This window comes from Homo sapiens, chromosome 1, assembly GCF_000001405.40.
Source record: "Homo sapiens chromosome 1, GRCh38.p14 Primary Assembly".
Lineage (NCBI taxonomy): Eukaryota > Metazoa > Chordata > Mammalia > Primates > Hominidae > Homo > Homo sapiens.
The window spans coordinates 155804860-155817674 of record NC_000001.11 but is presented as its reverse complement, the minus strand read 5'-3'; the positions used below and the strand labels follow the sequence as shown (position 1 = coordinate 155817674).

Sequence of the window (12815 nt, the reverse complement as noted above, 5' to 3'; positions counted from 1 at the left end):
CCCAACATGGGGGGATTACAGGCATGAGCCGCTATACTTGGCCTTCTTAATTCTTACTAGACTGACTCCAACACACTTCTGAATGCTGGCTTGCCTTTCTAATGGATTTGGCAGTAGGTAGGAAAGGGAAATGGGCCTGAATCACATCATTCCCTTTACCCTATATTGGTCCCACCTACACAGCACTAGATAAATGGTCAGAACATAGCAGGGCTGATTTGATTTGAGAAGCTAAGACTCCTTTTAGAGACAGAACCTAATGGCCAGTTGGCTTTTGTTCATAAGGTGCTTTTGGTTGGGTTACAATTAAATGGTCAAGAAATTATACATCCTCAATGGCATTTTATCAGCAGTATATAAGAACTTTAAAAAAGTTCTTTAGGCTAGATGTGGTGGCTCACACCTATAATCCCAGTGCTTTGAGAGGCTAAGGTGGGAGGATTGTTTGAGCCCAGGATTTTGAGACCAGCCTGGGAAACCTAATGAGACTCCATCTCTACAAAAAATTTAAAAAATTAGTGAGGCCTGGTGAGGAGGCATGCCTGTAGTCCTAGCTAATTAGTAGGCTGAGGCAGGAGGATCGCTTGAGCTCAGGAATTTGAGGCTGCAGTGAGCTCTGATTGTGCTGCTGCTCTAGCCTAGGCAACAGGGCAAGATCCTGTCTCAAAACAAAAACAAAAACAAGAAAAACTTTCCCCCTAGCTCTTATAAAAATTTTCAAACATTCAAAAAGTTGAAAGATTGTTACAATGAATCTAAATTCCAAGAGTAATATTTTGCCATATTTGCTTTATATCTCTCTGTGTTGTTTTTTCCTGTACTATTGGAAAAATAAGTGTGGACAACATGAAACTTTGCCCTAAATGCCCTGGTAAAAGCTTTTTTTTTTTTTTTTTTTTTTAAGAAAAAAAAAAGCCCATAGGCAGAGCAGGGCTACCCCATAGGCAGAATAGTCCATAAAAGCTTTTCATGGCTGGCTTTTTGGAGTTGTACTTATGGTGGATTCATGTAACTGATTACAAAAATATATTGCTGTTAAAAGACTACTGTAACCAAAATATCTTAGGTTTGTGTAGTTTAATAGTTTATAAATAGTTGTCACATCTGTTGTTCCATGTAAACCGCAGCTGTGATATGAACAAGGTAGACATTGTTTTCTTCATTTATAGAAAGAAGTGAGGCTTACCAGGTGTAAGGCAGAAATGCTAATGACAGTAATAGATTCTTTCCTGGTTTCTTCTTTCTAACTCTGACAAATAATTGAGAGTATACCCTCAGGGATAATCAACACCTCTAGATCACTGCAGTTACTTGTTAAGTATATGGCTGTTAGTGATGGTACAGAGGAAGTAAACATGAAAAACAATTATTTCAGTTAAGATAACTTAATTATTTATATTCTTTGTTGGTAGGTAATTCCAACATGGAATATTTCACCAATTAAGAAGGCCAATGAAATTAAGGTAAACTTGGAAGAAATAATTGTTATTCTTTTCCAGAAAGACTTCATCGGTTTTGAAACTTAAGTACTTCCTCTTTAACTTTTCTTGATCAATCTTTGTTTTAATTCCAGCTTTGTTTTTTTCCATTCTATTACTCTTAGGTTTGTATCTCATGGAATTCACTTTAACCTCTGCCTCGTGTTATTTGCTTTAGCTGTACATTATGCTCTTAGGATTTTTTTTTTTTCTGCCCTGCTTCTTCCCCTTATTTTCCAAATACGTATGATTTGTGTTTCCCATTACTTCATTTCTTTCTAATTGTACTAATGTAGCCTCCTCAGTTTGTGGATATCCACCTTGAAGAAGATGATTCCTCAGATGAAGAATACCAGCCGGATGATGAAGAAGAAGATGAAACTGCTGAAGAGGTCAGTGAATGTTAGTTGGTAATATTTGTCTTAATAGAGCAGGGTATACTTTGCTTCCTTAGTAATGTCACTTGTAGAGAGGATTGAGACATGGTTCTTTTTTCAGCTCATTTCTGTGCTTTAAGCTGTTTTTCTGCCCTTTATACTCCCTTAATTTTAGAATTTGTTGTATTATGAAATACAGCATAGAAACGTGCATAGAATAAAAATGTATAGCTTTGGTTATTATAATGCAAATCCTCATGAAACTCATAGCAAAGTCAAGAAATATATCATTACTAGGACAACCCCTGTATACCCTCCCCAGTCACAATCACCTCCCTCCCCCTAAAAATAACCACTACCCTGCCTTTTAGTAATTATTTCTTTGCTTTTCTTTATAGTTGTATCACCTCAATATGTATCTCTACACACTGTAGTTCAATTGTTACTGTTTTGAACTTTATATAAATGGACCCATGTTTATATGTTTTGTTCCTAGCTTTTTAAAATTCAACATTAAGCTTTTGAGATTCATTTATACTATTGGTTTTAGCTATACTTCGTTCCCTTTCATTGCTGTGTTAATATGTTCTTTGACTTGTTTCTTAATGTGTTCTTTGAATTGTTTTGTAAAAGGATTTTAGACCAAGGCCTTACACTTTGTAATGCAGATTAGGATAGTGATCTGATCCCTGTCCCCACCTTTAGGATTTTTTTTTTGAGTCTCCTCTGTTGCCCATGGAGTGCAGTGTGCGATGTTGGCTCACTGCCATCTCCATCTCCCGGGTTCAGGCAAGTCTCCTGCCTCAGCCTCCTGAGTAGCTGGAATTAACAGGCGTGCGCTACCATGCCTGGCTAATTTTTGTATTTTTAGTAGAGATGGGGTTTCGCCATGTTGGCCAGGCTGGTCTCGGACTTCTGACCTCAAGTGATCCACCCGCCTCGGCCTTCCAAAGTGCTGGGATTACAGGCATAAGACACTGACTGCACCTGGCCTTTAAGTTTCTATTTAAATTTTATTTTCTGTTACTGTAACTAGTTGAGTGATGGATTTTATTTATTTATTTATTTATTTTTGAGACAGAGTCTCGCTCTGCCACCCAGGCTGGAGTGCAGTGGCGTGATCTCGGCTCACTGCAACCTCCATCTCCTGGATTCAAGTGATACTCCTGCCTCAGCCTCCCGAGTAGCTGGGATTACAGGTGCACGCCACCGCGCCTGGCTTATTTTTGTATTTTTAGCAGAGACGGGTGTTCACCATGTTGGCCAGGCTGAGTGATTGATATTTTATGATTCCTTCTCTTGAGATACTTCAGACTTTGTGGAATGAGGTAGGGGCATAAATATTAAGGCGAACTGGATTTATTTTGTAGAGCTTATTGGAAAGTGATGTTGAAAGCACTGCTTCATCTCCACGTGGGGCAAAGAAATCCAGATTGAGGCAGTCTTCTGAGATGACTGAAACAGATGAGGAGAGTGGCATATTATCAGAGGTAAATCGGCATCATACAAAAGAGATGTTAGACATAACTGTCTAAGTAGATTTTTTAACTGTATAAGTAGATTATTTATCCATGGTGATTCTGGGCTGTCACCCTTTTTCAAAGTTTCTTAAGTTAGTAAACAGTTCAGAGAAGGCTAGAACTCAGTGATAGCCAAAGAACTTTTCTGAGTTCTCATTAAGGGGCCAAAAATGTGCAACTAGCAGAGTTTCTTTTCTCCTACCCTTCTCTTCTTTCATATCTGTGCTTTTTAATATTGTCCTAAAGCCATTGTTATTAATTTCCCACATTTTGGTAAACTAAGTAGCATTCTGTTGACTTCTCTAGAAATAGGATGAAAACTAATTAGATCAATACACTTGGTGTCTTTGTTTTTATGTAACTCTAACTAGAGAAGAGAAAGGACAATGGTGTATGGAAAGTCTGCCTCTTTTTCCCTCTCTTTTTTTCCTTTTTTTGCTTTCTCTTTCTTTCTTACCTCCTTCCTTTTTTGATGCAGTCACCTCTTTTAATCAGGCTGAGAAAGTCACCACACCAGCCATCAGGCACATCAGTGCTGAGGTAGTGCCCATGGGGCCCCCGCCCCCTCCAAAGCCGAAACAGACCAGAGATAGTACTTTCATGGAGAAGTTACATGCGGTAGATGAGGAGCTGGCTTCCAGTCCAGTCTGCATGGATTCTTTCCAGGTAAATATTAAAACTGTACTTAACTGAGAAAGTCAAGTGGAGTAATGTAGTTGTTGCTCAGGCTGGGAAGGGAGAGGAAAAGATAACTACAATTTTATATAAGTAAGAGTTAGTCTTTGATACTTTGTATTTGGCTAGTGCTATTTTCTGCTCAAAGTGACAATGGCAGTTTGGGGTTTTTTTTGTTTGTTTGTTTGTTTTTGAGACAGGGTATCACCCTGTCACCCAGGCTTGAGTGCAGTGGTGTGATCTTGGCCCACTGCAACCTCCGCCTCCCAGACTCAAGTGATCTTCCCACCTCAGCCTCCCGAATAGGTGGGACAGGTATATGCCACCACACCTGGCTAATATTTTAGTTTTTTGTAGAGATGAGGTCTCCCTATATTTTTGCTCAGGCTGGTATTGAACTCCTGGGCTCAAGTGATCCTCCCACCTTAGCCTCTCAAAGTGGTAGGACTACTGGTGTGAACCACCGTGCCTGGCTGAGAATGGCAGTTTCTAAGGAAGAAATGAACTATGTAGCAGAGAGCATTTTAAAATGTAGAACATAGGAAAAAGCTTCACCCAAATTCCCCCAAATTAACCTTTTACCACAATTGCTTGATGGTTCTCTTCCTCTTTCTCTGTATATACACATAGTGTTTTCTAAATCATTTTAGAGTGTGATGCAGGCATGATGCCATTTTACCTCTGCATGCTTTTGTGTATATTTTCTAAAAATGAGTTTATTATCTTGTATTAACACAGTATAATAGTGTTAATCAAAATCAGGATACAGGCTGTGCGCTGTGGCTCATGCCTGTAATCCTAGCACTTTGAGAGGCCAAGGTTGGTGGATCACTTGAGGTCAGGAGTTCGAGACCAGCCTGGCCAACATGGTGAAACCCCCATCTCGACTGAAAATACAAAAATTTGCCAGGTGTCGTGGCGCATGCCTGTAATCCCAGCTACTTGGGAAGCTGAGGCAGGAGAATCGCTTGAACCCGGGAGGCAGAGGTTGCAGTGAGCTGAGATTGCGCCACTGCACTCCAGCCTGGGCAATGGAGAGAGACTCTGTCCCAAAAAAAAAAAAAAATCAGGATACAGTAATATTACATAATATATTAAAGTGCTTATTCTGGTTTTATCTGTTGTCCCAACAATGCCCTTTATGTTGGAGGAAAAAAATTTTTTTTTCCCTATTCAGCATTCAACCCTGGATTAAATATCTATTTAATTATCTTGTTCTTTAGTCTCCTTTAATCTGGAACAGTTTCTCAGTCTTTGTCTTTTATAACCTTGACAGTTTTGAGGAGTATGCACCATTTATTTTGTAGAATGTTCTTCAATTTTTATTTTTCTAATATTTCCTCTTAGATTCAGGTTTTGCACTTTTGTTACAAATACTGGAAGAGTGATGTGTGTTTCTCATTGCATCATATCAGAAGGCACGTGATCCCTGTAATGTTAACTTTCATCACTTGGTTAAGGTGGTGTGTGCTTGGTTTTCCCATTGTAAAGTTATTATTTTCCATTTTTAATTAGTATATATCATGTGGGGATATACTTCAAAGCCGAATTCCTTTCTTTCTGTTTTTTTTTCCTAGATGGAGTCTCACTCTCTTGCCCAGGCTGGAGTGCAGTGGCGCGACCTCAGCTCACTGCACCTCTGCTTCCTGGGTTCAAGTGATTCTCCTGCGTTAGCCTCCTGAGTAGCTGGGATTACAGGTGCCCACCACCACGCCTGGCTAATTTTTGTATTTTTTAGTAGAAATGGAGTTTCACTGTGTTAGCCAGGATGATCTTGATCTCCTGACCCGCCTCAGCCTCCCAAAGTGCTGAGATGACATGCGTCAGCCACCGCGCCCAGCCTTCTTTTTTTTTTTTTTTTTTTTTTTTTGAGACAGAGTCTTGCCTGTCTCCCAGGCTGGAGTGCAGTGGTGCCATCTTGGGTCACTGCAACCTCCACTTCGGGGTTCAAGCGATTCTCCTGCCTCAGCCTCCTGAGTAGCTGGGATTACAGGTGACTGACACCACACCCAGCTAATTTTTTGTATTTTTAGTAGAGATGGGGTTTCACCACATTGGCCAGGCTGGTCTCGAACTCCTGACCTCAAGTGATCTGCCCACCTTAGCCTCCCAGAGTGCTGGGATTACAGACGTGAGCCAATGCACCCAGCCCAATCAATCAAATTATTTTTCTCACACTAATATTAGCATCCATTGATTATTCTTTCTTTTTTTTTTTTTTTTTTTTTTTTTTGAGACGGAGTCTTGCTCTGTCCTCTAGGCTGGAGTGCAGTGGTGCGATCTCGGCTCACTGCAAGCTCCGCCTCCCAGGTTCACATCATTCTACTGCCTCAGCCTCCCGAGTAGCTGGGACTACAGGCGCCCGCACCATGCGCGGCTAATTTTTTGTATTTTTAGTAGAGATGGGGGTTTCACCGTGTTAGCCAGGATGGTCTTGATCTCCTGACCTCATGATCCACTTGCCTCGGCCTCCCAAAATGCTGGGATTACGGGCGTGAACCACCACGCTTGGCCTGATTTTCTTTCTTGAAACAGTCTTTACTATGGTCGTTGTCAAATGATGACTTTGTAATTCTAACATTTAGTGAGTAATTTTTTATTTTTTGGATATGGAGTCACAGTCTGTCACGCAGGCTGGAGTTCGGTGGTGTGATCTCAGCTGACTGCAACATCTGATCTGCCTCCCGGGTTCAAGCAGTTCTCGTGCCTCAGCCTCCTGAGTAGCTGGGACCAGAGGCACACACCACTACGCCAGCTAATTTTTTGTATTTTTTAGTAGAGACAGGGTTTTATTGTTGGCCAGGCTGGTTTTGAACTGGCCTTAGGTGATCCACCCTTGTCAACCTCCTAAGTGCTGGGATTATAGGCATGAGCCACTGCGCCTGGCCTTAGCCAGTAAATTTTTTTTTTTTTTTTTTGAGACGGAGTCTCACTCTGTCGCCCAGGCTGGAGTGTGATGGCGTGATCTCGGCTCACTGCAAGCTCTGCCTCCCAGGTTCATGTCATTCTACTGCCTCAGCCTCCCGAGTAGCTGGGACTACAGGCGTGCACACCATGCCCGGCTAATTTTTTGTATTTTTTGGTAGAGACGGGGTTTCACTGTGTTAGCCAGGATGGTCTCGATCTCCTGACCTCATGATCCGCCTGCCTTGGCCTCCCAAAGTGCTAGGATTACAGGCGTGAGCCACCATGCCTGGCCTTAGCCAGTAAATTTTAATGTTCCAAGTTTCCCCTATCATTCTTGCAGGTCAATGAAAAATGTCTGTCCTAAAATTTTAAAGTATGATATAATAATTTAAAAAGAAATCCTAAAATTAAAAAATATAATTAAGGCTGGGTGTGGTGGCTCACACCTGTAATCCCAGCACTTTGAGAGGCCCAGGCGGGTGGATCACCCGAGGTCAGGTTTGAGACCAGCCTGGTCAACATGGTGAAACCCCGTCTCCACTAAAAATACAAAAATTAGCTGGGCATTGTGGCAAGTGCCTGTAATCCCAGCTACTCGGGAGGCTGCGGCACGAAAATCGCTTTAACCCAGGAAGCGGAGGTTGCAGTGAGCCGAGATGGCGCCAGTGCACTCCAGCCTGGGTGACAGAGCAAGACTACATTTCAAAAATATATATATATATATAATTATATATATATATAATTTATAATTATATATGTATATAATTTATAATTATATATGTATATAATTTATAATTATATATGTATATAATTTATAATTATATATATGTATATAATTTATAATTATATATAAGTATATAATTTATAATTATATATAAGTATATAATTTATAATTATATATAAGTATATAATTTATAATTATATATAAGTATATAATTTATAATTATATATAAGTATATAATTTATAAGTATATATAAGTATATAATTTATAAGTATATATAAGTATATAATTTATAAGTATATATAAGTATATAATTTATAAGTATATATAAGTATATAATTTATAAGTATATATAAGTATATAATTTATAAGTATATATAAGTATATAATTTATAAGTATATATAAGTATATAATTTATAAGTATATATAAGTATATAATTTATAAGTATATAATTTATAATTATATATAAGTATATAATTAAAAATAGAATATTGAATGGAATAGCTCTGAGTCATTTAATCACCATGCTTTGGAGTATGTAGTAGTAGGAGCAGTAATAGTTTTTTATGTAATCATTTATTTACCAAACACATACTGAATGGTTGAAGTTGAGAAACAACAGTGTAGAAGACAGAAAAAATTGTTCTTCATGGAACTTAGTCTGTTGAGGAGAGATAGACTATAAACATATAAACAAGTAAATTCGGATGTGGTTAAGTGCTATGAACTAAATTAAAATGAGGAAATATGAAACTTCCTGTCAGAGAACTTTAGATAGGCTGATCAAAAAAGACCTCCTTGGCTGTAATTCCATCACTTTGGGAGTCCTAGGCTAGAAGATTGCTTGAGGCTAGGAGTTTGAGACCAGCCTAGGCAATATAGTGAGACTCCATCTCTCCAAAAACTCAGAAAAATTATATAGGTGTGGTGGCGCATGCCTGTATTCTTAGCTGCTTGGTGGCTGAAGCAGGAGGATTGATTAAGCCTGGGAGCTTGAGACTACAGTGAGCCATGACTGCACCCCTATACTCCAGCATGGGTAATAGTATGAGAACTTTTTTAAAAAAAATTTTAAAAAACAGGGTCCGGTTTGGTGGCTTATGTCCATAATCCCAACACTTTAGGAGGCCAAGGAGAGTGGATCACTTGAGCCCAGGAGGTCAAGACAAGCCTGGGTAACCTAGTGAGACCTTGTCCCTACCAAAAAAAACACAAAACTTAGCTGGGCATCCTGTTACACACCTGTAGCCTCAGCTACTTGGGAGGCTGAGCCTAGGAGATCGAGGCTGCAGTGAGCTGTGATCATGCTACAGCACTCTAGCCTGGGCCACAGAGCAAGACTGTCAAAAAAACAAAAAACAAAAAGAAAAAAGGCCTCTTTGAGGAGATGGCATTTAAACTGAGATCCGAATGAGAGGAAGCCAGGCATGTAAAAGATCTGGGGAGAAAAAGTGCTCCATATGGAAGAAACAGCACATTCTAAGTCGCTAAGATAGAAACAACCTTGGCATGGTTAAGGAACAGAAACTACATGAAGGGTGGGATCGTGAAAAAGAGGTAGAAATGAGGTCAGAGAGCAAGGCAAGAGCTAGATCATGAAGGTCTTAGGAAACCATGATAAGGGGTGTAGATTTTATTTTAAACATTAGAACAGATGCCCAGTGTGGTGGCTCATGCCTGTAATCCCAGCACTTTGGGAGGCCGAGGCGGGTGGATCACCTGAGGTCAGGAGTTCTAGACCAGCCTGGCCAACATGGTAAAACCCCATCTCTAACAAAAAATACAAAAAATGTCCTGGGTGTGGTGGCGCACACCTGTAATCCCAGTTACTTAGGAGGCTGAGGCAGGAGAATCGCTTGAATGTGGGGAGTGGAGGTTGCAGTGAGCTGAGATCATGCCCCTGCACTCCAGTCTAGGAAAGAGTGAGACTCCATCTCAAAAAAAAAAAAAAATAAATAAATAAGAAAAGATTTTTGTGATATTTTTGGATTAATGTTAAAAATTCCTTTTGGTTAACGTGTGGGAAATGGACTAGAGTAAAGCAAGAGGGTAAACAGAAACCCATTAGCAGGTTGATGCAGTGTAGTCTAGGGAGAGCTTCCCAAATTGATCTACAGATTCAATGCAGTCCCTATCCAAATCCCAGCTACCATTTTTGTGGAAATTAACAGTCTAATCCTAAAATTCATGTGGAATTGCACAGGCCCAGAATAGCCAAAACAGTCTTTAAAAAGTACAAAGATGGAGGTCTCACACTTTCTGATTTTCTTTTTTTTTTTTTTTTTTTTTTGAGACGGAGTCTGGCTCTGTCACCCAGACTGGAGTGCAGTAGTGCGATCTCGGCTCACTGCAAGCTCTGCCTCCCGGGTTCATGCCATTGTCCTGCCTCAGCCTCCTGAGTAGCTGGGACTACAGGCGCCTGCCACCATGCCCAGCTAATTTTTTGTATTTTTTATAGAGACGGGGTTTCACTGTTAGCCAGGAAGTTCTTGATCTTCTGACCTCGTGATCCGCCCACCTTGTCCTCCCAAAGTCTGGGATTACAGGTGTGAGCCACTGCACCCAGCCTCATTTTTTTAAAATAAATATTTTAAATAAGAGTCTTGCTCTGTTGCCCAGGCTGGAGTGCAGTGGTATGATCTCAGCTTGCTGCAGCCTCAACCTCCTCCTGTGTTCAAGTGATCCTCCCACGTTGGCTCTTGCATAGCTGGAACTACAGGCATATGCCACCACTCCCATCTAACTTTTTATTTTTTGTAGAGATGGGGGTCTTGCTGTGTTGCCCAGCTGGTCTTGAACTCCTAGACTCAAGCGATCTTGTCACCACAGCCTATCAAGGTGCTGGGTTTACAGATGTACAAATGTGAGCCTCTGTGCCTGGCCCTGTTTTTTTTTTTTTTTTGAGATGTCTCTCTTGCTTAGGTTGGAGTACAATGGTGCAATCATGGCTCACTACAGCCTTGATCTCCTAGTCTCAAGAGATCCTTCTCTTTCAGCCTCCTAAGTAGCTGGGACTACAATTGGTGCCACCACACGCAACTAATTTGTTTGTTTGTGGCAGAGATGAGGTCTCACTGTGTTACCCAGGCTGGTCTCAAACTCCTAGCTTCAAGCAGTTCTTCCTGGGCCTCCCACAGTGTTGGGATTGCAGGTGTGAGCCAATGCATTCAGCCAGCGGTATTATACTTAATTGCCCCACAGTGGAAACAATCTGAATTCCATCAACAGATAATTGGATAAACAAAAGTGGTATATCTATACAATGGGATATTATTGGGTGAAAAAAGGAATTCGGGGCCAGGCATGGTGACTGGAGTGCAGTGGTACGTGTCTCACTGTCACCTTGAACTCCTAAACCCAAGCAATTCTCCTGACTCAGCCTCTTGAGTAGCTGGTACCACAGGCACATACCACCATGCCTTTAATCCCAGCAGTTAGGAAGGCCAAGGCAGGAGGATTACTTGAGCCCAGTCCAGGAGTTTGAAACTTGCCTGGGCAACATAGGGAGTCCCCCCACCCCCATCTCTACAAAAAATGAAAAAAATTAGCTGAGTATGGATCCAGTGGCTCACACGTGTAATCCCAACACTTTGGGAGGCTGAGCAGGTAGGTCACCTGAGGTCAGGAATTCAAGACAAGCCTGGCCAACCCCATTTCTACTAAAAATACAAAAATTTGCCAGGTGTGGTGGCACACGCCTGTAGTCCCAACTATTTGGGAGGCTGAGGCAGGAGAATCACCCGAACCCGGGAGATGGAGGTTGCAGTGATCCGAGATCGTACCACTGCACTCCAGAATGGGTGACAGAGCAAGACTCCATCTAAAAAAAAAAAAAAAAATTAGCCGAGCATGGTAGAGCATGCCGATAGTCCCAGCTACTTGGGAGGCTGAGGCAGGAGAATTGCTTGAGCCCAGGAGTTCGAAGCTGCAGTCAGCTCTGATTGTGCCAGTGCTGTAGCCTGGGTGAGAGATTGAGACTCTATCTCTTAAAAAAAAAAAAAAAAACACCAGGCATGGTGGCTCACAGCTGTAATCCGAACACTTTGGGAGGCTGAGGTGGGCAGATACCTGAGGTCAGGACTTCGAGACCAGCGTGCCCAACATGGTGAAGCTCCGTTTCTAGTAAAAATACAAAAATTAGTCAGATGTCGTGGCTGGTGCCTGTAATCCCAGCTCCCTGGGAGGCTGAGGCAGGAGAATCACTTGAACCCAAGAGGCAGAGGTTGCAGTGAGCCGAGATGGCACCACTGCATTCTAGCCTGGGCAACAAAGCAAGACTATGTCTCAAAAAAAAAAAAAAAGTATTGATAGATATTACAACAGGGTGGGATTTAAATGCATTATGCTAACTGAAAGCGGCCAGAGACAGGCCACACATTTTATGATTCCATCTAAGTGAAATGTCCAGCAGAAACAAATCCATAGAGACAGAAAATAGATTAATGCTTAACAGGGGCTGGGAGGAGGGGGAAAGGGAAGCGACTACTAATGGGTATGGGATTTCTTTTTGGGTTAATGGAATGTTCTGAAATTAGATAATGGTGATGGTTGTATAACTCTGTGAATATATGAAAATCCTTTCAATTATACACTTTAAAAGGGTAAATTTTATGGTATGTGAATTGTATATCAATAAAGCTGTTATAAATTTTCCTAAAATGTTGGTTTCAAACTGATGTCATTTATTTTATTTCTTTTTTATGTCGTGTTTCTTAAAGTTTCTCAAACAATAATAAATCCAAATTGTTTAGAGGAAGGATCCTGTTACTTAAGCTAAGATGAGAAGAAAAGGAGTGATGATGAGGTTTGGAAACATCACTCACTCAGTGACTTTTCTTTCTCCATTGTCCAGCCCATGGATGACAGTCTCATTGCATTTCGAACGCGTTCTAAGATGCCCCTGAAAGATGTTCCCCTGGGCCAATTAGAGGCAGAGCTCCAAGCTCCAGACATCACTCCAGATATGTATGACCCCAATACGGCAGATGATGAGGACTGGAAGATGTGGCTGGGGGGACTTATGAATGATGATGTGGGGAATGAAGGTAAGTTTTGGTTTGTGATTTATTATGTATACTGTCCATTATCTGTTGTAAAATTTTTAGTATTTGGAAGGGTATAGAATGGAATGGTT

General features: G+C 41.0%; 1 protein-coding gene across 20 annotated transcripts in view; it reads left to right on the top strand.

The window, feature by feature from the left end:
- Window positions 1-12815, top strand: part of GON4L (gon-4 like) — a 114320-nt gene that overhangs the window by 41757 nt on the left and 59748 nt on the right. For all 20 annotated transcript variants that reach the window (XM_047423299.1, XM_006711394.5, XM_047423284.1 and 17 more), the window contains exons 7-11: window positions 1413-1463; window positions 1775-1870; window positions 3226-3345; window positions 3871-4041; window positions 12534-12726. In XM_047423299.1, coding sequence (XP_047279255.1) covers window positions 1413-1463; window positions 1775-1870; window positions 3226-3345; window positions 3871-4041; window positions 12534-12726 — 631 coding nt within the window. The remainder of the gene's footprint in view (window positions 1-1412; window positions 1464-1774; window positions 1871-3225; window positions 3346-3870; window positions 4042-12533; window positions 12727-12815) is intronic.